This window comes from Homo sapiens, chromosome 11, assembly GCF_000001405.40.
Source record: "Homo sapiens chromosome 11, GRCh38.p14 Primary Assembly".
Classification (NCBI taxonomy): Eukaryota; Metazoa; Chordata; class Mammalia; order Primates; family Hominidae; genus Homo; species Homo sapiens.
The window spans coordinates 115320992-115343338 of NC_000011.10; the positions used below are offsets into that span (position 1 = coordinate 115320992).

General features: G+C 36.8%; 1 protein-coding gene and 1 long non-coding RNA gene across 7 annotated transcripts in view; one reads left to right on the plus strand and one right to left on the minus strand.

Moving 5' to 3' along the window:
- Positions 1-22347, minus strand: part of CADM1 (cell adhesion molecule 1) — a 335180-nt gene that overhangs the window by 151756 nt on the left and 161077 nt on the right. The gene's annotated exons all lie outside the window — the stretch shown is intronic.
- LOC105369509 (uncharacterized) lies at positions 12586-19448 on the plus strand. Its single transcript, NR_135108.1, has 2 exons — positions 12586-12627; positions 18984-19448. It is a non-coding gene; the product is annotated as an uncharacterized LOC105369509 (long non-coding RNA).

The following is a 22347-nucleotide window of genomic DNA, read 5'->3' on the forward strand; positions in this document are numbered from 1 at the left end:
CCACATAGTTCATACTTTTAACAACATTACAGCCAGTAAGTGAATGTATTTCATTTTGATGATTTCATATATTGCATTAATGAGAAAAATTGAGGCATATTATCTTAGGTTCTAAAATATTGTGCAATTGTAAGTTTTATGCCAGCCTTCAAGTAATTCAGTTTTTCAAAGATAGTAAAGGGAAAAGAATCTGACCTAGGCAGTCTATCCCTTAACAATGAAAGTAATTCTACTTACCAATTTGGTTTTCTTCCTAAAGAGTTGCAAGATTGGTAAGAAGTACTGGATTAACTCTATATTATCTCTGCTTAGGTATGTTTTCAACATCCTATGGAGTAAATATGCTAGTGGTAAGTGCACAGTACTTGGGGAAAAATGCATTTTGTAGGACACTCTAGGCCCTCTGTAGTGACTAAAAGCAAACATAATAAAACAACCTGACATCAATTCAGTATTTCTCCATTTACTGAAACTTCTCTGAGCACTTTAATACATGCAAATCATATTCCAATGCATTTTTAATGTTTGACCCAGATTACACGAAAGAATACTAGGGTAATAAAAATCTTCATATACTTTATTTGCAAATATTGGAAAGTAAAGATGGGTAGTAAATGGCTACAGCCGTTATGTCATGGATTCCTCTCCTTAATATCCTAGTTCCAGTAGCTGCTAACTACTAAAACTCCTGTGGAGTTCAGGTCCTTTTCTAAACTGTCCTCCAAGATTTTCTGACTACATTATTACAATGTGTTTGTCTTCCTGGTAATTTTGCAACAGTGGCGTGATACTCCAGGCAAAGCATTCCATAGGGTTAGAGTGCTGCTTGAGGAAACCAGTGGAATGCAATCATCACCCACAAATGCACCATCTGCTGTGTCTTACTGCTTAATTAAACTAAAACTGGTAGGTTCTTAATTCTCACAGCTCATAAAAATAAAGGTCACAACAGAGCACTGGCATCATGCATCATCCACATAACATACAGTCGCTAAAGTACATTTTGCCAACCTATCACTCAAAAGAAAAAAGAAATATACCATCTAGCTGGCGTCAAAGCACAGAATGATTCTATCAGACTGACATCAGATCAATGACAGGACAGCTGAACTGTCAGCCTAAGTGAACAGGAGGACAGAAGCTTCAATTCGTGGCCATTGTTCTTTACCTCTCTCCTGTAGCACTTGCCAAAAACAATCCTTCCACACACTGTAACAAGACCACTCGTGAATTTGTTTGTTCAATCATCCACTCATTCATTCTTCAACCATTTATCAAAGGCTTACATATGCAAGGCATTGTGTTTAGCATTTTGGAAGACACAAAAATGAATCTGACGCAGGCTGTTAAGCATATACAGCTGCCAATGACTTCATTAGATATAGTCTTATGTCAAGTATATATAACACTTTTATGGAGATATAATTCATATATCACAGAACTCACCTGTTTATAGTGTACAGTTCAATGACTTTGAATATATTCATAGAGTTGTGCAACTATCACTACTATCTAATTTCAGAACATTCTCTTCATCCCAAAAAGAAACTTTATATCCACTGATAGTCACTTCTGGTTCGCCTCTTATCCCAACCCGTGGCAACCACTAATCTACTTTTTGTCTCTATAGCTTTTGACTTTTCTGGAGATTTCACATAAATGAAATCATAAAATATGTGGCCTTTGGGCTTCTTCCACTTAGCATAATGTTTTCAAGGCTCATCCATGTCATAGAATGTATCAGTACTTCATTCTGTTTAATGGTTGCGTAATATTCTGTTATTTGGCTATACCACATATTGTTTGTTCATCAATAAATGGATATTGGATATTGTTTCCATTTTTTTGATTATGAATCATCCCTGCTTAATAATATAATGCATTACATTATAAATAATAATATAATATTCATGTACATGTTTTGCACAGACACGTTTTAATTCTCCTGGGTATATAACTAGGAGTGTAACTGTTGTGTCATATTGGTAACTCTATGCTTGACACTTTGAGGAACTGTCAAGCTGTTTCCAAATTGGCTGCACCATTTTACATTACCACTAGCAACATATAAGAGCTCCAGTTTCTCCATATCCTTGTCAACACCTGTTATTGTCTTCTTGTTAAATTCTAGCTATCCTACTGGGTCTGAAGTGGTACTTCACTGTGGTTTTGATTTGCATTTCTCTAGTGACTAATGGCATTGAACATCTTTTCATGCTTATTGATGATGTGTTTATCTTCTTTAGATAAATGTATTATAATTTTGAGCAACTTTTAGTCAACTATTCGGTAGAAATATATAAAATATTGTATCTATAATCTTCCAGCACTGTGTGACATTTCCCAACAAGCCACTGATGTATTTTCTTACCCTAAGTTACTTTTGATGTTTAAATAAAAACTCTAAGATAATATCTAAAACCAGTCTTGAAATTCCACAGCATAAACATGGAAGTGGGGTGCAGGGAAAGTAGATGGGTGAAATTTCACTTGATTAGATAGCTCTTTCTAGCCAACAGCCCATTTCCCAAATCTACTAAAAGTCAACTAGTAAGAATTTCTGGAGCTAAATGATGCGGAAGAGGTTGAGTTACAGAAAATTCAAGATGATGAAATGATGGTAAGAAGAATAAAGCACAGATTCAGTTTCAGATGAAGGAAGTTCACGAAACGTTACAAAGGTAAAGCAACTTATTTGGACTTAGTAGTAGAGAGGTGTTGAACTGAGAAAGATAACTAAGAATTATTTCCTAGGACAGTGGATGATTATAGTATCGCTTGCCCAAAGGAAGAGGGAGGAGGAAAAGGAGAACAAAACAAAACGTAAATATTCTGAAGGAGGATTCATTATGTGGCAGTGGTTTCTGCTGCTCTTTTAAGAGGAGAGATACGAAAAAGGAAAAAAAAAAAAGTGGGATCAATCTAATTTGGGCCACAATGGACTTGGTCTAGGATATGTTAAGTTGCTGTTCCAGGAGAAGCAGATAGCCATACAAAGAACCCAGAAGGAGTTCAGGAGAGGATCTGGGTTAAAGATGCTGTGGGAAAAAGAAAGAGCCACAGGCATTCATATATGAAGGAGAAAAACCCTGCATTCTTCTTAACTCCTTTCAAGCCAACTCACTCTTGTTTCAAACAATGGGGAACAACTTAACTCAGTGATATAGTTATGAGATGCTAATGAATGAAAATAATTGATTCTAATTATCTCTTCAACACCCTTAATGTACCCGTAAAAGTAATCACATGTCTTCCTTTAGACTTCTCTGAACTGCATCATGCATCTTGAACTTTCTTTGCTATGTAGGTTTTTAACTACCTAACATTTTTCTCTAAATAAGGCAAAAGAAAACAAAATCAACAACATCAACAATAAAAATGATGATTTTGGTGCCATGCTCTCTCCAACAAACAAAAGAAGGCAAAATTGTGAGTAAGTCAGCACTAGTACTTTTACATGCTATATACTACAGAGCCCCAATCGGTAAGTCTGTTCTCTCTTGTTGGTGTGTTCGTGGAAAAGAACATGACAGCAGAAACAGACAGAGACCTTAAAAAGCAATTAAGGGTGAGGAATCTCCTGCCAAACAGCTAGTGCAGATAGAACCTTTTCTTCCATAGACCTTAGCCTCATTCCATAGCCAAGAAAAAAGCTTGATAAATACTATATGATGAACAAGTGATAAAATGTATAAAAACTGCGATGAGGAATGACCAATGGAAGAAACCAGGTGTCACTCAGAGACTGAGTGGGTTATTGTGCTTCCTGTTTCCTGTAGGTGGCGACAAACTCCTTGAAGAGGAAACAGAAAGCAAAGTTAAAAGGCTGGTGTGTGTCTAGATTGAAGCGCTGAAGAATTTGCTTGAGAGTTGGCAATTTCTCCTCCAAGGCAGCTCTTCTTCACTGGTATTGGCAAGCTCTAGATTTCAGAAGTGATTCACCTGCGCCACGTTATTTATGAGCTGCTTTTTCCCCTTTAAGTGCCCAGCTTCACATTAACAGTATGAACAGCTTCACTGCAGAGCTCAACCGTGCCTATCACGTAAATGGAAGGTTCGTTAGAGCATCTATTAAGAGGATTTTCAAAGGCAAAATAGCATTTTAAAGCCATTAGCATCCCTTAAGTTCTATAGAAGAAATGTTAACCAACTGCTATTTAAAACCATCAACCAGAAATGGCCATAGGTCACCAACAATCCCTTAGATTATCTCCCCAGAGGGCTCTCACACCTCTATATGCTCCCGATCTTTCAGGCCTTGTAGTGAGAGAGCATCAACGTGAACTCTAGGAGCACGTCCCAGACGTGCATCTCCTGGAGGCAGCCAGGGCTTGGACATCAGTCATCAATAAGGGTCCTTGCCAAAAAGAAGTGGTGGGGGGCAGCAGGAAAGCAGGGTGCTTGGTCAAACTGCAATAAAAGCAGGATGAAGAGAAGGGTGTGTCTTGGAGGGCATACACAAGCAACCAAGAATTAGATCTTATGTCCTAGGTTTTCACTATTATTCTCAAGATACAATTTTTATAACAAATATTTTCTGCCAACCTCTTAAAATTTTTAAACAACAGCAGCCAAGACTGACTTCTACTCGGCACAATTACATAAGACCAAGCAGTGTGTTGCTCTCATTTTTGAAGCTTTGTTTTAAGCTCCCTCATTAATCTTTCAGTCTTTTCTCATCTCTGCCTGACTATAACTGCCCTGAATTTATCCAAGCCTGCAGAATGCCAGGCTCACTGGAGTCTAAATCACCAAGAGCTGAATACACAGTCCACTCATGGGACTCTACACTTCCATCAGAAAGAACCAATCACAGCTTAGGAGAGGTAAACCTCTTTTTAATTGTATTCTATGATACTAACAGGCATTCATTACACATGGACCTTAAAACAAGATTTGCTCTTGGCTGCTCATAATTGTATTTCTACAGCAGTTTAAACCGTTGGCACCTGCAATTGCTAGCAGGCCTAGGCTAAGAATTTCTATTATCCCAGTTTCAAGGGTTACATTTAAAATAAAACTCAGAGGGGCAAAACATTACATACACACATATTTACACAAATTAAATACTATGCACAAGTCAATACCTTCTGCACACAAAACTACATTAAACTCAATTAGCCCTAAGCAAAACTACAGGAAGCAGGTATTCTATGAACCAACGGAGCTGTTCTGTATAATAAAGAATATAAAAGCAGCTAGATTATAGAGTTCTGCAGAACTGTCAATAAATGCTTTTAAAGAAATCATTATCAACACTGATTTCTAAATTAATTAACTTAAAATTAACACAAAACAATCCAACCCAAGGTATTTATATATAAATAACCTCTGGTTTCTGGGTTCTAATAAAGAAGAACTTTTGAAGCATGTATGTATGTGTATGTGTGTCATTCAGGGCTTTTCCAGAAGGATATTCCTAAGTCACAAAACAGCCACCAGACTAAAGTACAATGTCCTTCTTGTTATGGTTTACTACTTGATTATGACCAAAATTAAATTATACAAATATTTCACTAAATATCTTCTCAAACCTTATAAATATTAATATGAACTCAATTTCCTATGTGCCCAGCATTTAAAAATCCATTTAAAAATCTCAGAAACTAATTTAAGATTTCCATCTAGAATACAAATTAGCAAGTCCTCTTCCTAGCTCTGTTTTGCTCAGCACCCATATCTGCACATTTAGTACTAAATGTCAGTTGGTAGCACTTAAAGATGATGAATATTAAAAGCATGCTTCTGCCTGCTAACATATTAGAGCTTGGCAACCATTGAATTTGTCATAAGCTGCATTTTCAGTGAACAAACGACTGCCTTTAAAACACCAAAGCATTCGGTAAACTCCCAAATTGTGAAAAGGGTACACAGAGGGTGAAATTTTACTATCAAATATGTTATCTGAGAGGACTGTATAAAATTAGAATCTTTTTTAAAACTTACCACCGGGCTATACTTTCTAAAGTACTTACTTGAAGATTGTATCTGGATAATAAATAATAATAATGCCAGCTACTATTAATCAAATATTCATTATGTGTCAGGCACTGAGCTAAACATTTTACATATAAAAACATACATACTATTTTTATATACATGTTATCTTATCTACTTGCCATCTTTACATGCATACTATCTAATTTGCATATGTGCAGGCTACCTTTACATATACGCTATCATGTCAGATTCTCTACTCCATGACATAAGCAGTGTTGTTACTTCCAGAGGGGTTAGGTGACTTACTTGAGGTAATAAGCAAATGAAAGGCAGATCAGGAATTTCGACCCAAGCCTCTCTCTCCAATCCCCTATACACTACCATGCAGCCAATTTTCCAGCAGATAAAACCTCCTGCAAGGCTGGCACTTGCGGGATGCTGCTCACTCTATCGGGTCCAGGAGCCTAATACCTGTTTATTTTAAATCTGCATTAAGAATGCTTTTTCATATACAAATCTTGTTTCTGCAAGGATTCATTCATCCAGAAGACTGAACAAAAAGTACACTTTTGATTGGAATACATAAGAGTTTTTTTTTTAACTTAATTAAAATGGCTTGTTAGAATCACCTATTCAGCATTTGGAAAACCAGCTGGGTTATTCTGTCAAACCTCTACACAACACACCTACTGAGACCCAACTTCATGACTAGAAGGCAGGAGAGTATAGTGATGTGGACTGAACTCTAGAACAAGAGTTCAAAATACGGCACTATCTCCTACCAGCCTCATGTGACCAAGCCTCAGTGTCCTCATTTGTAAAGTGAAGATTGTATTAGTACCTACTTCACAGATTACTGCAAGATTAAATGAAATTATGCATACAGAGTACCAGATACATTGTAAGTACTCAATAAATGTTAGCGCTTGTCTGTCTTTGGGGTGTCAGATTCTATCAAAACAACTTTACTACCTTCTTTGGAATGCTATATGGTTCTTTGTCTGTCTATTAAGAACTGTCTTACACTCAGTATTTTTTTCTGCTTCATTTTATGCCATCAGCTCTACCGCTCTACAAAGCATTCTAAATTATCCTTCTGTTTCTCTGGGTTTTGAGAGATTCAAATCCTTTTTCCAAATTATATACTAAGATCTTCTTTCTGAGTTAATTTTCCTAGCTGCTTAATCACTTCTGTTGACCTCCGATTTTTTTTTTATATCAGATTGGCCAAGTCTCTCTGATATGAAGACACCCAGAACGAAAATCCAAATTAACCTTTTGAGGGCCTAAAACTTAGGACTTATTTACGTCTCTTCTGATTTCTGCCTTCCCCAGCATTTACTACCATGTTCATTACTGCATGCTAATCTCAACATTTCTTCCATGGCTTACATAATGACAGATGTTTTGTCCAGATTTCACAGTAAATTTAATGGGCGAGAAACAGTGCAATTATTTATAAAGTTATTGTTTGTAGATGAAATTACATTTTCCAAGTGTATAGCTAGTTAAGTTATACATGTCTTCATTCCTTCAACAAGTATTTCTTTAGTGCCTACCATGCACCATGACAGGTGAATCACATACTTTTTGCAAAAAGACAAGGCAATACCTTATGTGCTAAATTCCCTTGTCTGCCTACATCACAGAGTTGTTTGAAAGGAATGTTGTAATTTTTATGAGTCAAATTAATTATATACTATCTAAATATAAATATATATATACACACGCACACTATATATATATGTGTATATATATGTGTATATATATGTATATATATATGTGTATATATATGTATATACATATATATATATATAGAATCCAATCTCTTTTGGGGGGACAAAAGAACTTTTAGTGGGCTAAAAAAGTCCCTAAGAAAGTTGTCAGTATATCTTATGGGATGTGGTAAGAAGATGTACATGAGAGACAAGGAAAGAAAGAAGAACAGTTCTGTTTCTCTGTAGCCGGATGAGATTATGGCATTTTATTTGATTCTGTTTTCTATATTAACTTTTATGGGCATCCTGTTTTTTACTTCTATTAGTTATTTTTATAACTTTAATAAACCTTCAATAAATTTTAATGAACTATTAAATTTAAATAAATTTTATTAAACTTTCAACCACCACTTAACTACTCTCAACATAATCCCAAAAGATCATTTTAGTCTCTCTTAAATGAAGGACAAATAATTTAGCACTTTTATACTTCCTTACTCTACCTGCAAGTTTTCTAGTTAGAAAAAAAAATCTGAATATTTTTCAATGTTGATTAATAATTAGAAAGTGTACCTGGAATGTAGTGTGGTATATCAGTACCCAAGATCAGGTCTTTTAGAACTGAAAAATGTCCCTCCAATAGTTATCACAGTGGATTGTTTTGCTGTGTCTTCCACAATAATCTCCATCAGTTTTAGGTTGGATCTGTGTCTTTCTAGGCTTTTTTGTTGCAGTCTGGGCATTTTTTTGAAGTCTATCCTCTATCACTATGAAACGGGAGAGTTCCCTGACCCCCCTCACAAGACATGCAACAGGGGTGTGGCTCGTCTGTTGGGCTGCTGCATGCTCTAACACCTTATGGGAGGGGGAGCACACAGAAGGGCAGGTGCAGGAGCCGGGGAGAGCACTTTTGGGAGCTGATCCCATAGTAGCGTCTAGGGCTGGGTGCCCGTGACTCCCAAAGCCCCAGTGGGTGTGCTACAGTGCTCTTTTAGCTCTGCTGTCCACAGACAGCTTAAGTGTTAACCAGCTCAGTGCCCTCTTGGTACCTGGGATTTTGTCCAGTGTCCAAGAAGAATCAGGTCACACAGACAAACTGAAGGATGGTAAATGCGGAGGATTTTATTGCTGGATGGAGATGGCTCTCAGCAGGATGGATAGGGAGCCGGAAAGGAGATGGAGCGGGAAGATGATCTTCCTCTGGAGTTTGACCATTCCATGGACCATCTCCTCTCCAGCTATCCCCAGCTGAACTCCTCTCGGTGTTCAGATGTTCCTTCTCTTCTCTCCTTCTCTACCACGTCACTGCTGCTCTTCTGCTCCTCTGCTCTTCTGCTTGTGGAGCCTAGGGTCTGGGGTTTATATGGGTACAGGATAGAGGGGTGCAGCAGGCCAAAAGAGAACATTTGGGTGTGAAAACAGGAAGTCCTGTTCTCATTTAGAGCCATGGGTTTCTGGGCTTGAGAGTGGGGCCTTTGCCAGGGAACCACCCTCTTTTACCCAGTATTTCCCTGCCTCCTGTCCATATCAACTGGATGAATTTTCTAAGTACAGTCAGCTTTTTATTTACAATGGAGATTTATTTTATCTACTATAATTTTCACTTCGTTTTATTCTTTTTAAAGTTCTCATTTACTAGATGTAAACTCTTCAGGTATCTTACTGAGTTTACAAAGCACAGCTTTTATAACTGTCTCATAAAGGAAAATTGTTTCAGAAAGATATTGCTGCAGATCTCTACAATTTCTTTGCTTTGGAGCTGCAGAATTTTGTTTTAATTATTCATCTATAATGTGTGATTTCATTTCTTTTTTACATCCTTGGGCTTGGTTTGACCTTGGCCTTTAGTGCTTACCATGCTTCAGGACTGCTTTTAAGTCCTTCCCAACGATTGAGTTACATTAATGAGTTTGATGCGTGTCTTCAGTACCCAACATGTGCTAAGTACTATTCTGAGTGTTGGGGATTCAGTGAGAAGGAATATACTCCCACCCTCATCTCTTCCTTCCCCACCCTCATGGAGCTCAGTCTAATGGAGGAGACAAGAAAATCCTACACTAGTGACCGCATGTAGACGTCTTTGCAGATGCCCTTGTGTTCAAAGTGGAGCCAAAGGATGATTGGAAGCAGGTGCAAATCCTGGTTCTTGACTTTCAAGCACCTAAATTCACAGACCAGCCCAGAACCTGGGTGGGAGCCAGGAGTCAGTTCAATGAGAACCACCTCCACCCAAGAAGGAGCATGTTAGCAGCTGTTACAGAATCAACTAACACTCAGCAGCACTGGACATGAACAAAAGGGTACAGGGTACATGTTGAGCAGGATTCCATGACTAGTGGCTGAAACAGGGAAGTGAAGAGGAGGAATCAGGTTGCAGGTTGGGGGGCCTGGTGAAGAAACGGCAACTCCATCTGATTTCAACTACAGGAAAGAATGTAAAAATTCCTTCCAGAAACTAGAATGGGCTCAGTGCCTGCCACTCATTGTAGTTACTTCTGGGGATTTGGTTTTTTTGAGACAATTTCATGGGCATTTTAAAGGAAATAAGGAAGACATTGTTCATAGCACTTCCACTCACTCTGCTATATTCTTGGAAGTCAGTGGTTCAATCTCAAATTAAACTTCTCACTAACATTATGTTCAGTTATTTATGCTCTCTAAACAATGAGTGTTTTTAGGCAAAGATTTCCTAGCCTTTCCAACTAAACAAAAGAGCCTCCCACACACAGAGACACACATTTCCATTCTGAAAGCCCTGCAGGCAGATCTGTGAAGCTTGCCATCATAAGACTCATTTAATTTTAAATTAAATTAAGGGCCCAAAAGGTAAGCACATTGTTCAGGTTATTCCAACTAATGTCCTAAACTTACAATTTCAATGATTCTCCATCCAGTTGATGACTCCTACTATATATAATAAAGAATTCATGAACCATGGAAACAACTGACAAAAATAAAATAAATAAATATCACTCATGGCTTAGAAGAAAAAGCATTCACACAGTCCAGTTCCTAACTCAAATAGAGTAAATATGTGCAGAAAATTTTTATCAAGATTTTACCAAGTCTATACCTGTAAGGAAAAAAAATGGGTACAAAGGCTGATTTTCTAATAGAAATAAAGGTATGAAGGACCCAAATTTCTGACCACTATCAGGTGACACACATACAAATATTCACATAGGCAGAGCTAGTTGAGATGTAACTAAAATGAAATATAGACCTTTTTTTTTGTTTTTTTGAGTTCAACACAGCCCTAAGCTTCCCCTCCCCTGCGTGGGGAAGGATCTGATAGATTTCTTTATTCTACATACATTTATTGATCCAATTGTCCCAGTTTTTATGAAATTTACTAACAATGCCCAGGTGCCTGAGCGTAACAGTCGGGGAAAAAAACAGGAAAAGAACCTGAGTTGGAAATTCTCAAAGAATACTATGTGAGGAAGTCTGCAGGGTAAGCACAATCATTATTGAACCATCTGAATAGTTGTGGGCTGAGTACGGAAGCAGGGATTCGAAGAGAGTTGCCAGCCTCTTCCCTCCCCTATCTTCCCATACTGGAAAACAAGGACAGAACAAGGAATGGAACAAGGAATGGAAGAGAAGACAGGTTGAGGAGAAACATGGATGGGGCAGGTAGAAGTTAGAAGGCTATTTCAAAGAGGAGACTAATAGAGTTTGAAATATTCAAAGTGGAGCAGATCTATTAGGTGTGGCATGTGTGTGCACAGCCAAAGTGAAATGAAGATGAAGGTCATTTTAGTTGAGGGATTTAAAGAACTACGAGATCTGGGTATTAGTAAAGCCATCAAAAGGAATGCTCTACTTACTGAGGATTCTGCATTGAATCACTGAGGGAAAAGTCAGCTGATCTTAAAGCAACCACGGTCCCAGAAGTGTTATTAGGGAGGTGAGGTGCAGCAGGGGTGGTGAGAAGTATGTAAAGTTGGAATGGTATGGCACTTACATATGCTCGATAACGTGTCAATTTCCACATCTAAGAATGGAGAAGATCATATTGATTATAGGGGAGTACCCTTAACCCATCCTTTGCTTGACGCCTCCACTGAGCAGAAGGTAGATTAGAGTGGTATGACTGATTTTTGTAAACTTCATAAATTTAAAGTCCTTGAGAAATAAAAATATAAATAATCTGATAGTAAATGAAGAGGGTTAAAAAATATATTTAATCCCTACTTGTCAACCCAGGAATACAGAGAATGGGGGGAAAAAAGCGATGTTCCTGGATCTCCCTGCGCTTCCCTAAGACCATCACTCCAGCCAAACACTAGCTGACATTTTCTCCCCAGGAACTCTTCACTTCTCACTCTATACACCCTGTGCGAGGTCCTCCTCACCTCACCAGTCCCAGACTAGAACGTCCAATTGCTTACTGGTCTTTTCTCCCTGATGTCCCATCAGTTCTTCAAAATCAAAGCTGTTTAGCAAATTCCTCCCCTCTTTTCCAATCTGACTGCAACAAACTCAAGGCCAACCATCTTTTCTTACCTGATTTTCCCAATGGTGTCCTAATTAGCCTCCTACTCCCCTAAAACATCCTCTACACTACCACCAGGGCAATCTCTCTAAAGGACGATCTGATCAGATCACTTCCTCACTTAAAACCCTCAAAGGCTCCCAGTGCCTACAGGATGAAGCACAAAACCACTTAAGCTCTGAGTCATGCTCTTCTGTTGAGAGATCGAGAGAGAAAGAGAGAGAATGCCCAACATGCCTCCCTGAAAATCATTGGGAGGATCAAATAAAAATGTATGGAGAAGCACTTTCAAAACTATAAAGCTTATCTAGTGGTTCTTAGTCTTTATGAGATCACAATCCCTTTGGAGAGTCTGATAAAAGCTCTGGAGTTTTCTCAAAAACACACATCCACCTACATGTAAAATTTGGCATCCAATTTCAGAGCATCCATGATTCCTCAAAGACAATCTTGACCAACAACCTTACTTAGGTATTTTATTATTTTCACGTTGGTATATAGAATGGGAGTCGGTATCATCTTGATAGCATTTCCAGCCTTACAAACAAGCAAGCAGCTCTACTGTGGGCAGTAACATTATTCATGAAGATGTCTAAAATATTCATCAGCAGAGTCACTGGGCACATAGTAAATATAGGCAGAAAATTAGTACAGTAGTTAGCGTATAGGCTCACAGTCATTTCATCAGAGTGCAGCTGTCCCTACACACAACTGTTAGAAAAGAACAGGTTATTTTGAAAACAATCAGCTGAATTGAGTCAAAAAACTGACCAGTGGGCCTTCATTCTAACTGAATGAAAACGAAGTGAGGTTCCTTCCTTTTCATACAGCTCATGGATGCAAAAACACAAGCTATGCCATAGCATAAATGTTCATTATGCATGAGCCTGTTTCTTGCAGCTGCATCTCTCATGACTTGGCTAAGGCTGTATTTGTCTATATGTCCTTCTACATGTTTGTGCATATTTACACTGTGTATTTTAGTGCTCAAGAAAGCAGAAGGCAAGGAACAATGTTTACTCTGCATGTTTGTACAGGACACATCACACAGAACTACAGTGATGTAGTATTTAAGGGCAGCAAATTCAAACTCTTCACCAGAGTGTGGACCTAAACTCCACATCATAAAGAATTGATCACATTTCCCTTTAGAAAGAAGAATATTATCAGCCAAGTTTCTGGTATCAACCAATGACTAAACCTTAAGTCAATCACAAGTGATGATACAGTAGTCCCCCCCTTATCTGTAGTTTTACTTTCTATGGTTTCAGTTACCCTGGGCCAATGGGGGTCTAAAAATTGATGAGTACAGTACTCATCAATTGATGAGTACCCCATCAGGTGATGGAGAGACCACATTCACATAACTTTTATTACAGCATATTGATATAATTGTTTTATTGTTGTTGTTAATCTCTTATTGTGCCTAATTTATAAGTTAAGCTTTATCATAGGTATGTATGTATAGGGAAAATAGTCTGTATAGGGTTCAATACTATCCTCAGAATCAGACATCCACTGGGGATCTTGGAATACATCCCCTGAGAATAAAGGGGGACAACTATATGCCACCAGAATATCACCACAAACATTTATCAGTGTTTTGAACAGTAAATACACATTCGAGTAGTCTATAACATCACATACAAAGGGGCTCAGTGTAATAGGAAATATACACACTGAACATAAAAACTAAATGTGTTCTTAACAGAAGACTGGCCCCAAACCAATGTCAGCCCTTTAGAAATATGCATTTAATTAACTGTTTTTTGCTTACCTTCTGAAAATTAATATTTTTGGCACATATATTTTAAGACATAGCCCTTGGAAATCTGAACTTATATCTTTCTCTTGATAAATTTCCAACAAGTAGTCATTAGAAATCACTCCAAGTCCTTAAAGATGAGCTTTTCAAAAATACTTGCATTTCCCTATTTTGTCACAAGATGGCAATCTCATGCACTGGTAAACCATAAAAATTCATAGGAAAATTTAATTTTACCACGTCAGGGGTGTGGTTCTCAAAGTTCATAATGTCAGGATCACTTTAAACTCTTAAAAATAAAACTGATAATATTTTTTAAAGAATCTTATGAATCCACTTAATAAACCCATCGCGTGTTAACACAAAGGACATGTTTTTGTGAAAATAACTACATTTTCCACAGCAAAAAAATTAGAAAAGAATTTTGCAAATCTAAAGTTTGGCTTAATAGAGAACAATTGGCTTTTCACATTTGCTTCTTCATTCAATCTGTTGTGATCCATTGTTTATGTTGAAGTATATGGGAAATAAAATAGCCTCATGTATATATATAGTTGTAAAAGGAAAAGTATTTTAATAGTCTTTTCAGATAATTATGGTTTTATTCTCCTTTGATACTATACCAAAACTCAACAAGTGGTGGCTTCTTCATGGTTAAATTGGATTGTGGAATCTGAAACCACATCAAAGAACTTCTCATACTCTGTCACATTAAAATTCATTAGTCAATCCTGCACTTTGAATGGATCTTTTAGCCACTCATGATGTTTTAAAATCATGCACTGGTCATTTGGAAAATATTAGTTCACTGAGTTATGCAGCACTCTTCCAAATGGTGACACATTTCATTATTCAGTATCAAAAAAGTCACATTCATTAGTATCACCACCAATATCATAAGAAAAGTCAATGGTTCATTAGGAAGCTGTCAAGTTCACAGAGGAAGATGCAAGTTTTAAAAAATTCACATTTCCACTTGAAATCTTTAATTTTATCACTGACAACAATGTCCATTGTTTCTCTTAAAATGACAGGCTCACTGCTTTCCAGAAAATGTCTGCCAAATACGCGTCTGAATAACTATAGTTTAACTCAATCTCCCCAGTCTTCTTCCTTGAGACAAGTATGTAGCAAAAATGCTTTATTTGTAATTCTCCTTCACACAAACTATTTTTAAAAACATGTAACTCAAGGTCAAGCTTTCATAAAATTAATAATTTTTACTGCTTCATCAGGGATATTCTTTTTTACTGTATGTGGAGGTGAAGAATACAATGACTTCTAGGACAGTTTAGTGCCACTAACTCGATTCAGGCTAAGGCTCCCACAACTTTCCCCACCATTGCTTTTGCACCATCAGAGCAAATGTCAACACACCCAAAAAAGGCAATTACGTCTTAGTATTATGAGAACAGTTTTCATCTCATCGATCCCTCAAAAGGAATTTGGGAGCCTCCAAGGATCCATGGACTGCACTTTGCGAAACATGCTTCAGAGGTTATAAAAGACTTTCAATTTATGTCAGCATTTAAAAATAAAACCGACTGCCACATTTGCAGAAAAAGAACAAGTGGGAACTCCTAATACAGTAAAACCTCTATTACTAAAACACTTGGTTAATGAGTACCCTTATTTAATTTTCTGATTAACTCTTCAATTATACCTACTCTTGGTTTCTACCCTTTCTGAAAAAAATTTAATTAATCAGAACCAAAATAAGTCAGGAAACACTAGATTTAAGTTCTTTCCTGATGTGTTTGTTCACAATTTAATCCTTTTAAAAGGATTACTAGATTTCACAGCCAGAATTAGAAGCACTGTCATTTCACAGTAGTAAGGTTAAAAATAAGTATGAGTGTTTTTCCAACTTTTTCTTAAAGAAGTGGAACATTAGTTAACATTTTACATGGCATCTCAAGATGAAAAAAAATTAAATTGAACTTATTCTGTCTGGTTGAAACATACTCTGTTGCTGTTATTATTAGTAACCGTTAAGTAAGTACTGACTATATATTTGAATTTGTAAGAACTTTACATAAATTACCCATTTCATTCAATCCTTACACATTTCAAAGATGCCATCTTCAAATTAACCTTATCACCATTTTACAGATGAGGAAATTGAGGTACAGAGAATTAATTAATTAATGTTTCCACTAATACAACTAGTAAGTAGCTAAACTGAGTTTAAAACCAAGTCTGTCTAAGCTTGGCTGAGTCCAAAGATGAAATTCTTAATTCCCGGCTCTTTCAGGGTTTTTCAGGGCCAGCAGCTCTGATATGCTTCTGCAACTAGGTCCTTGATGTTCTCCAGTTCCTTAGCTTCTGACTGAGATTTAGCTGGCATTATCAGTGCTTAATACATGTGCTAATTTGATAGGTTGTAGACATTAGGTGTTGCAGGTAACAGAATTTCTTTCTTTCCACATAATTGTCTGTCTTCCAAACTTACCAACTTGCTATCCTATTAGTTCTCAACAGCACCTCTCTTTTCCAGAGAAACCAACTTGCTCATGGTTTCTCTTAATGCACCACAGACATTCTTCCTCCACCATTCGACCTGCACCCCTCCTTTCTGTGTATTGAGATCCTGCCTTCTATATTTCTATTTCTGCCCCAAGACTTAGGGCAGGCATTCTGTTTCCTTACTCTAACCTCCCTTGGCTCTTTACTAATGTTTTTTCTTAATGCTGTTTAACGTTTGATATGCATTTGTTATGTCTTCCCAACTAAGTTATACATATATTTTTTTCTTTTTTGCCCTCTTTGTATTCCCCATGACTTCTATCACAATACTATAAATAAACTAGAGGGCCACAGATGTGGTTAAATTAATACACCATGGAGTAGTGATAATAATGCTGTTGTGATAATGGTTTATTAAAAATCCATTTCTCAGGAAACTTTTAATAGATAAAAATGTTATGAGAGGGTCATACTGATACGTCTAGTAATAAATCACCTTAGGGATGACCAGAGAAAAACAATTACCATTACTGAACTGAGGTTGAATTTTGACTCCGGCTTTTAAGAGATTGGTTGGAAATAACCTAAGCTCAAAGCTGGTAGCATACTGGTTGGCCCTAAGTGGGTATCTCGGGTTGTAAAATACTGGTCAGGAAGACTGGCTCTTCTCAGATGAAGCGAGTAGATGAATTGAGAGAAAGTTCACACTTCTACAAATGTTAGCAGGAGGAAAAGGAGAAAGAGGAGGAGGAGGAGAACATCATTACCACCATCATAACAGCTAACACATGTACGGTGTTACTATATGCTAGAAACGATTCTAAGTACTTCGCATATGTTAACTCATTTAATATTCACAAAAACCCTAAGAGGTAGAAACCATTGTTAAATATCTTTTATAGACAAGAAAATTAAGTCGCAAAAAATTCAAATAATTTGCCTAAGGTTACTTACACAGCTAGTAAGTAATAGAGCCAGGATGCAATAAACTCATTTAAACTGTTTAAATATTTGCCTAATACTAAATTACCTAGTGTTCATGTCTCAAATTTTAGAGAAACTACCATTTGGAGAAAGACTTAAAGAACTAATATCTAAGGTACACACCAGTGTACTCTATTTTACCTTGAATTTACTGTCTTTTAAAAATAGATTATAAATCCTTGAACCCAACATGTTTTCAAGTATCATAATCACTTCAGCCTTTGGAAGGCCCCCACTGACCAACGGCAGATGCTCACACGTAGGAAGCACACTGTGTCTCCGCCTGCATAACTGGTTATAGCATCCCTACTGTGGTGTGTGCTATGGCTCAACTCTCCTTCAGTATTGGGCAATTACATCTCACACTGCTTTGTCTCCAAATATTCAAATTTCTTAATCCTTCCTGGCATAAAAGTGATAAGAAGAGGGGAGGAGACTGCAAGTGCTATATGCTTTGTAAGATCCTGTACTTTCTATTTTAAAGAGGTCTGTTCCACCTTCTTTTATTTTTTTTATTTTTTTTTTTTTAATTTTTTTTTTTTTTTATTATACTCTAAGTTTTAGGGTACATGTGCACATTGTGCAGGTTAGTTACATATGTATACATGTGCCATGCCGGTGCGCTGCACCCACTAACGTGTCATCTAGCATTAGGTATATCTCCCAATGCTATCCCTCCCCCCTCCCCCGACCCCACCACAGTCCCCAGAGTGTGATATTCCCCTTCCTGTGTCCAAGTGATCTCATTGTTCAATTCCCACCTATGAGTGAGAATATGCGGTGTTTGGTTTTTTGTTCTTGCGATAGTTTACTGAGAATGATGGTTTCCAATTTCATCCATGTCCCAAGTCAGTGTGGCGATTCCTCAGGGATCTAGAACTAGAAATACCATTTGACCCAGCCATCCCATTACTGGGTATATACCCAAAGGACTATAAATCATGCTGCTATAAAGACACATGCACACGTATGTTTATTGCAGCACTATTCACAATAGCAAAGACTTGAAACCAACCCAAATGTCCAACAATGATAGACTGGATTAAGAAAATGTGGCACATATACACCATGGAATACTATGCAGCCATAAAAAATGATGAGTTCATGTCCACCTTCTTTTAAATAACCATCTAAACATGGTGTAATTAAAAAAATCAAACAAATGTAATCATAACTTCATGGAGCTTTTCTCATACCTGCTTCATAGAGGCCACCCCTACCTTCTGCCTCTTCACTAATTTTACTTATGCAGAGTTTAGTTTTCATTTTTAACATGTATCCAATTATTTCATCATGTATAGTCATACAAGCAGCTATCTAATATCAAAGTATAGAAAATGAAAAAAAGAATATTAGATCCAAAGTTTAATTACAAATTGGGCAACTTTCAGCAAGTCTCTTCACCACCAATTAAGAGAGTGTATTTCCTTTTAATTTATAGCACAGAATAAGTAAATCCAAGCTTTGACCAGAGAGCTCGGACACAAACCCTCTTCAATTCACTACCTCTCATGCCCAACTGAGATTCATAGTATTTTAGTATAAAAGAGGTAGAAAAAAAAAAGTATTCATCCCTCCACGTATTCTAAGTTATTCTTTTGTTTCCAATAAGATCACTAAAGTACCTCAGATCAGATTTCAAATCAGCCTACTCATCAGGTCCACTCTACCATGCCAGACCAGGCATCCAAGTTATAAAGATGAGATTCCAAATTACCCAGCTGCCATAAAGCTCGCGTTCCCGTGTGAATCCTGAACTCTGGCTGACGACATCTGGAGTCCACTGCAATCATGTGTTCCCTCAATGACTGAAAAACCTGAGCATAATGACTACCTAAGATTCATATCTGTACATACCCAAAATGTTTATTAAATAGAAATAAAGATAAAATAATGTGTAGGTTTATGGCTGTATTTTTGCTTTTATGGCATTTGGGTCACTTCTATGATTATCTCTGTTCCATCTTTGATCACAAATGCAAGCTCTATTGTTCCTTTAAGGAAATACAAAATCTTTCATGACAATCTCTTTTAGGATGTGTCTTTCTAGGAACACTCTGAAAAATAACTAGAATTGGCAATGCTAAGAGTTTTTAATGATGAAGCTTACTCAGTTGCTGAAATGTATTAAGTGTTTTGGGGTGGGGTTGTGGAAAGAAAAAAAAAAAAAAAAGCCAGGTCATAATATACGCCATATAAGGGGGATTTATTTAAAATCAAATTTCCCCTGGTCTCAGAGTGGAGTCACACAACATAATAAATATTATATATATATATATATATATATATATATATATTTTTTTTTTTTTTTTTTTTGAGACAGAGTCTCACTCTGTCGCCCAGGCTGCAGTGTAGTGGCGCAACTTTGGCTCACTGCAACCTCTGCCTCCCGGGTTCAAGACATTCTGGTGCCTCAACCTCCCCAGTAACTGGGATTACAAGCATGTGCCATCACCCCCAGCTAATTTTTGTATTTTTAGTAGAGACGGGGGTTTCTCAATGTTGGCCAGGCTGGTCTCAAACTCCTGACCTCAGGTGATCCCAGCCTCCCAAAGTGCTGGGATTACAGGCATGAGCCCACTGTGACCAGCCAGAACATAAAAAACTGTCAATACATGCAAATGGAAGAAAATGTTGTTATAAAGTCTCTAAAATGTAATATATTTCAAAAAGAATGAGTTCCCAGGCCTACTTAAGAACTGATGACATCGTCGCATTCTAAAAAATTAAATTCATACTAGCTCAAATAGAAAATGTTCTAAGTTACCAACTCTCAGACTGATGGTAAAATCTGCATATTCTGAACTACTTTTTAAGACTTGCATCCTCCTAGGTCATTATCAGTTTATTCACTTAACAAATATTTCTTGAGTATATTTCTGTTGCCGGCACTAAGTATTATTTCAGTGACTAGGATAAGCTTATATTCTGATCAATTTAGGTGGCCTCCTCATGAGCTACAATGAAGCAAAAATAAATAAAACTCAGTAAACAATTAGTAATGACAACTACCTTTAATTAATAAGATTTGAAAGCTTTAAATAGGATATTTATTCTACCTGCAGAAATGTTAAAGTTAAGTAGAATATAAAATAAACCACAAGATAACCTCTATATAAACACTGTTCTCCATCAAGGAATGTGAGAACTAGAAAATTCTTTGTTTTGCAATTTTCAGTTTCAGTAAGATAACAAAGTTTACAAAGAAGCACTGTGTTTTTGCTCAGGAGATAAAACATTAATCTAACTGTTGACCTAGAAATAACATACAAAATTATAAATTTGTCACATGAAAGCTTTAGGGAAACAAGCAAACTAAGCAGCTCACAGCATTGGTTCGTGGTGGATTTGGGAAGACCATGTATTTACCGGTGTGTGACAGAGAATAATATAAAGATCCTTTTTTCATCTGTTTTTGAACAGAAAATAAATAGCAGAACTTCCCCTTAACCTTCTGGAGTTCAAGTCTAACACATGCTGAAATAACTGTCAACTCTTATATATGTAACTTAAGTCCCATAGCAATGCAAAATTACCAATACAAACTTAGTGAATTGGGTTGGTTGCACATTATTATACAAACTGGATCAGAATACAATTTACTTCTTGCTTATCAACATAAATGCTTTAACATCTAATCCAACGTCTTAGGCTAAAATTCTATAAATTCATAAAAAATGCATACCCAATATATAAGATCTCCAGTTATATCCATCTACAAACAAAAATAAATTATGCCAGCCATTTGTCCTGTCACTGAAAAATAAGTAACAACTGGAAAGGCTTTAACTTACCTTAAAAATTGCGACTACATTAAAACACATATACTTGTAAAGCCTTGCCATCAGATCATACCAACAGATTAACTTTTCTTCAGATAAATCAGATTAAAGTAATCATGGAGAACCTAGAAACTGAATTCCAATTTGACCAACTCAAGAGTTGTATGTGTACTCTGGCCTGAATCTGTCTTAAGTAATACACGATGTAGTATCATGTTTCTGAGAGAAACTAGGAAATCCAAACATTGCCTGTGTCCTGAAGGAGATGGAAGGAAGATAAAGAGATTCTACATGGAGGAACAGAGTGAGTGGAGAGAAGATAAGCTCCTTACCGGTCTCTAAGTCTCCAAAGTCAAGGGCTAGTATATGCACTTAAACCCTAAGGCCCCAGTGACAGAAATGGCCATATGACAAACCTTGCTATGCCAAGGATATGCTTCACTATCTTCATCTATCAAAACACTATGCATCATAGATATCTAATTTTTTCATCTCTTGCATGAAGTCTTTCCTGATTTCCCTCTGCTGAAATTTCTCTCTTCAAATGATGTGTTTCCATAGTACTTTGTCCCTTTTCAAAGATATATCTCACATTGCATATTTTACCACAGTTAGTTTCATTTCTTAACTCTCACACTAGATTACAAAGTCAATATAGACAAAGAAATGTTCAACCTTATATAACCTCCTCTGCCTATGCTGGTAAATTGCACCTACTATGTGTTCAATAAGAGCTTGTCTTTTTCAATATACAAAACTTTGTAAAGATTAAAGACCTTGTAGAAAGTCAAGAGGAAGATAGCAATTTCACTTCTAAGAACTTACCCTAAGGAAACATTCATGAAGAGATACAAGGGGTTATGTGCATGGATGTTCATTATCATATTATTCTTCATTATGAAGATTATGATGGTAATAATGAAAATGATTATCTTGTATTGTGTCCTTATTTGAAGTCAAGCATTGAGAATGTACTTTATCTGCATTATCTCACTGAGTTCTCGTAGCAGCCCTATAAGGTACAGACTGTTATCTAAGCTTAGAAAAATTAAGTTAATTGTCCAAGGTCAAACAACTAGTAAAAGATGGAGTTAGAATTTGAATCCAAAAGGTCAACTCTCAAGGCTATGATCTTACATATATAGAGCTTGCCATGTGCCAAAGACTGTTCTAAGTACTTTACATATCCACCCT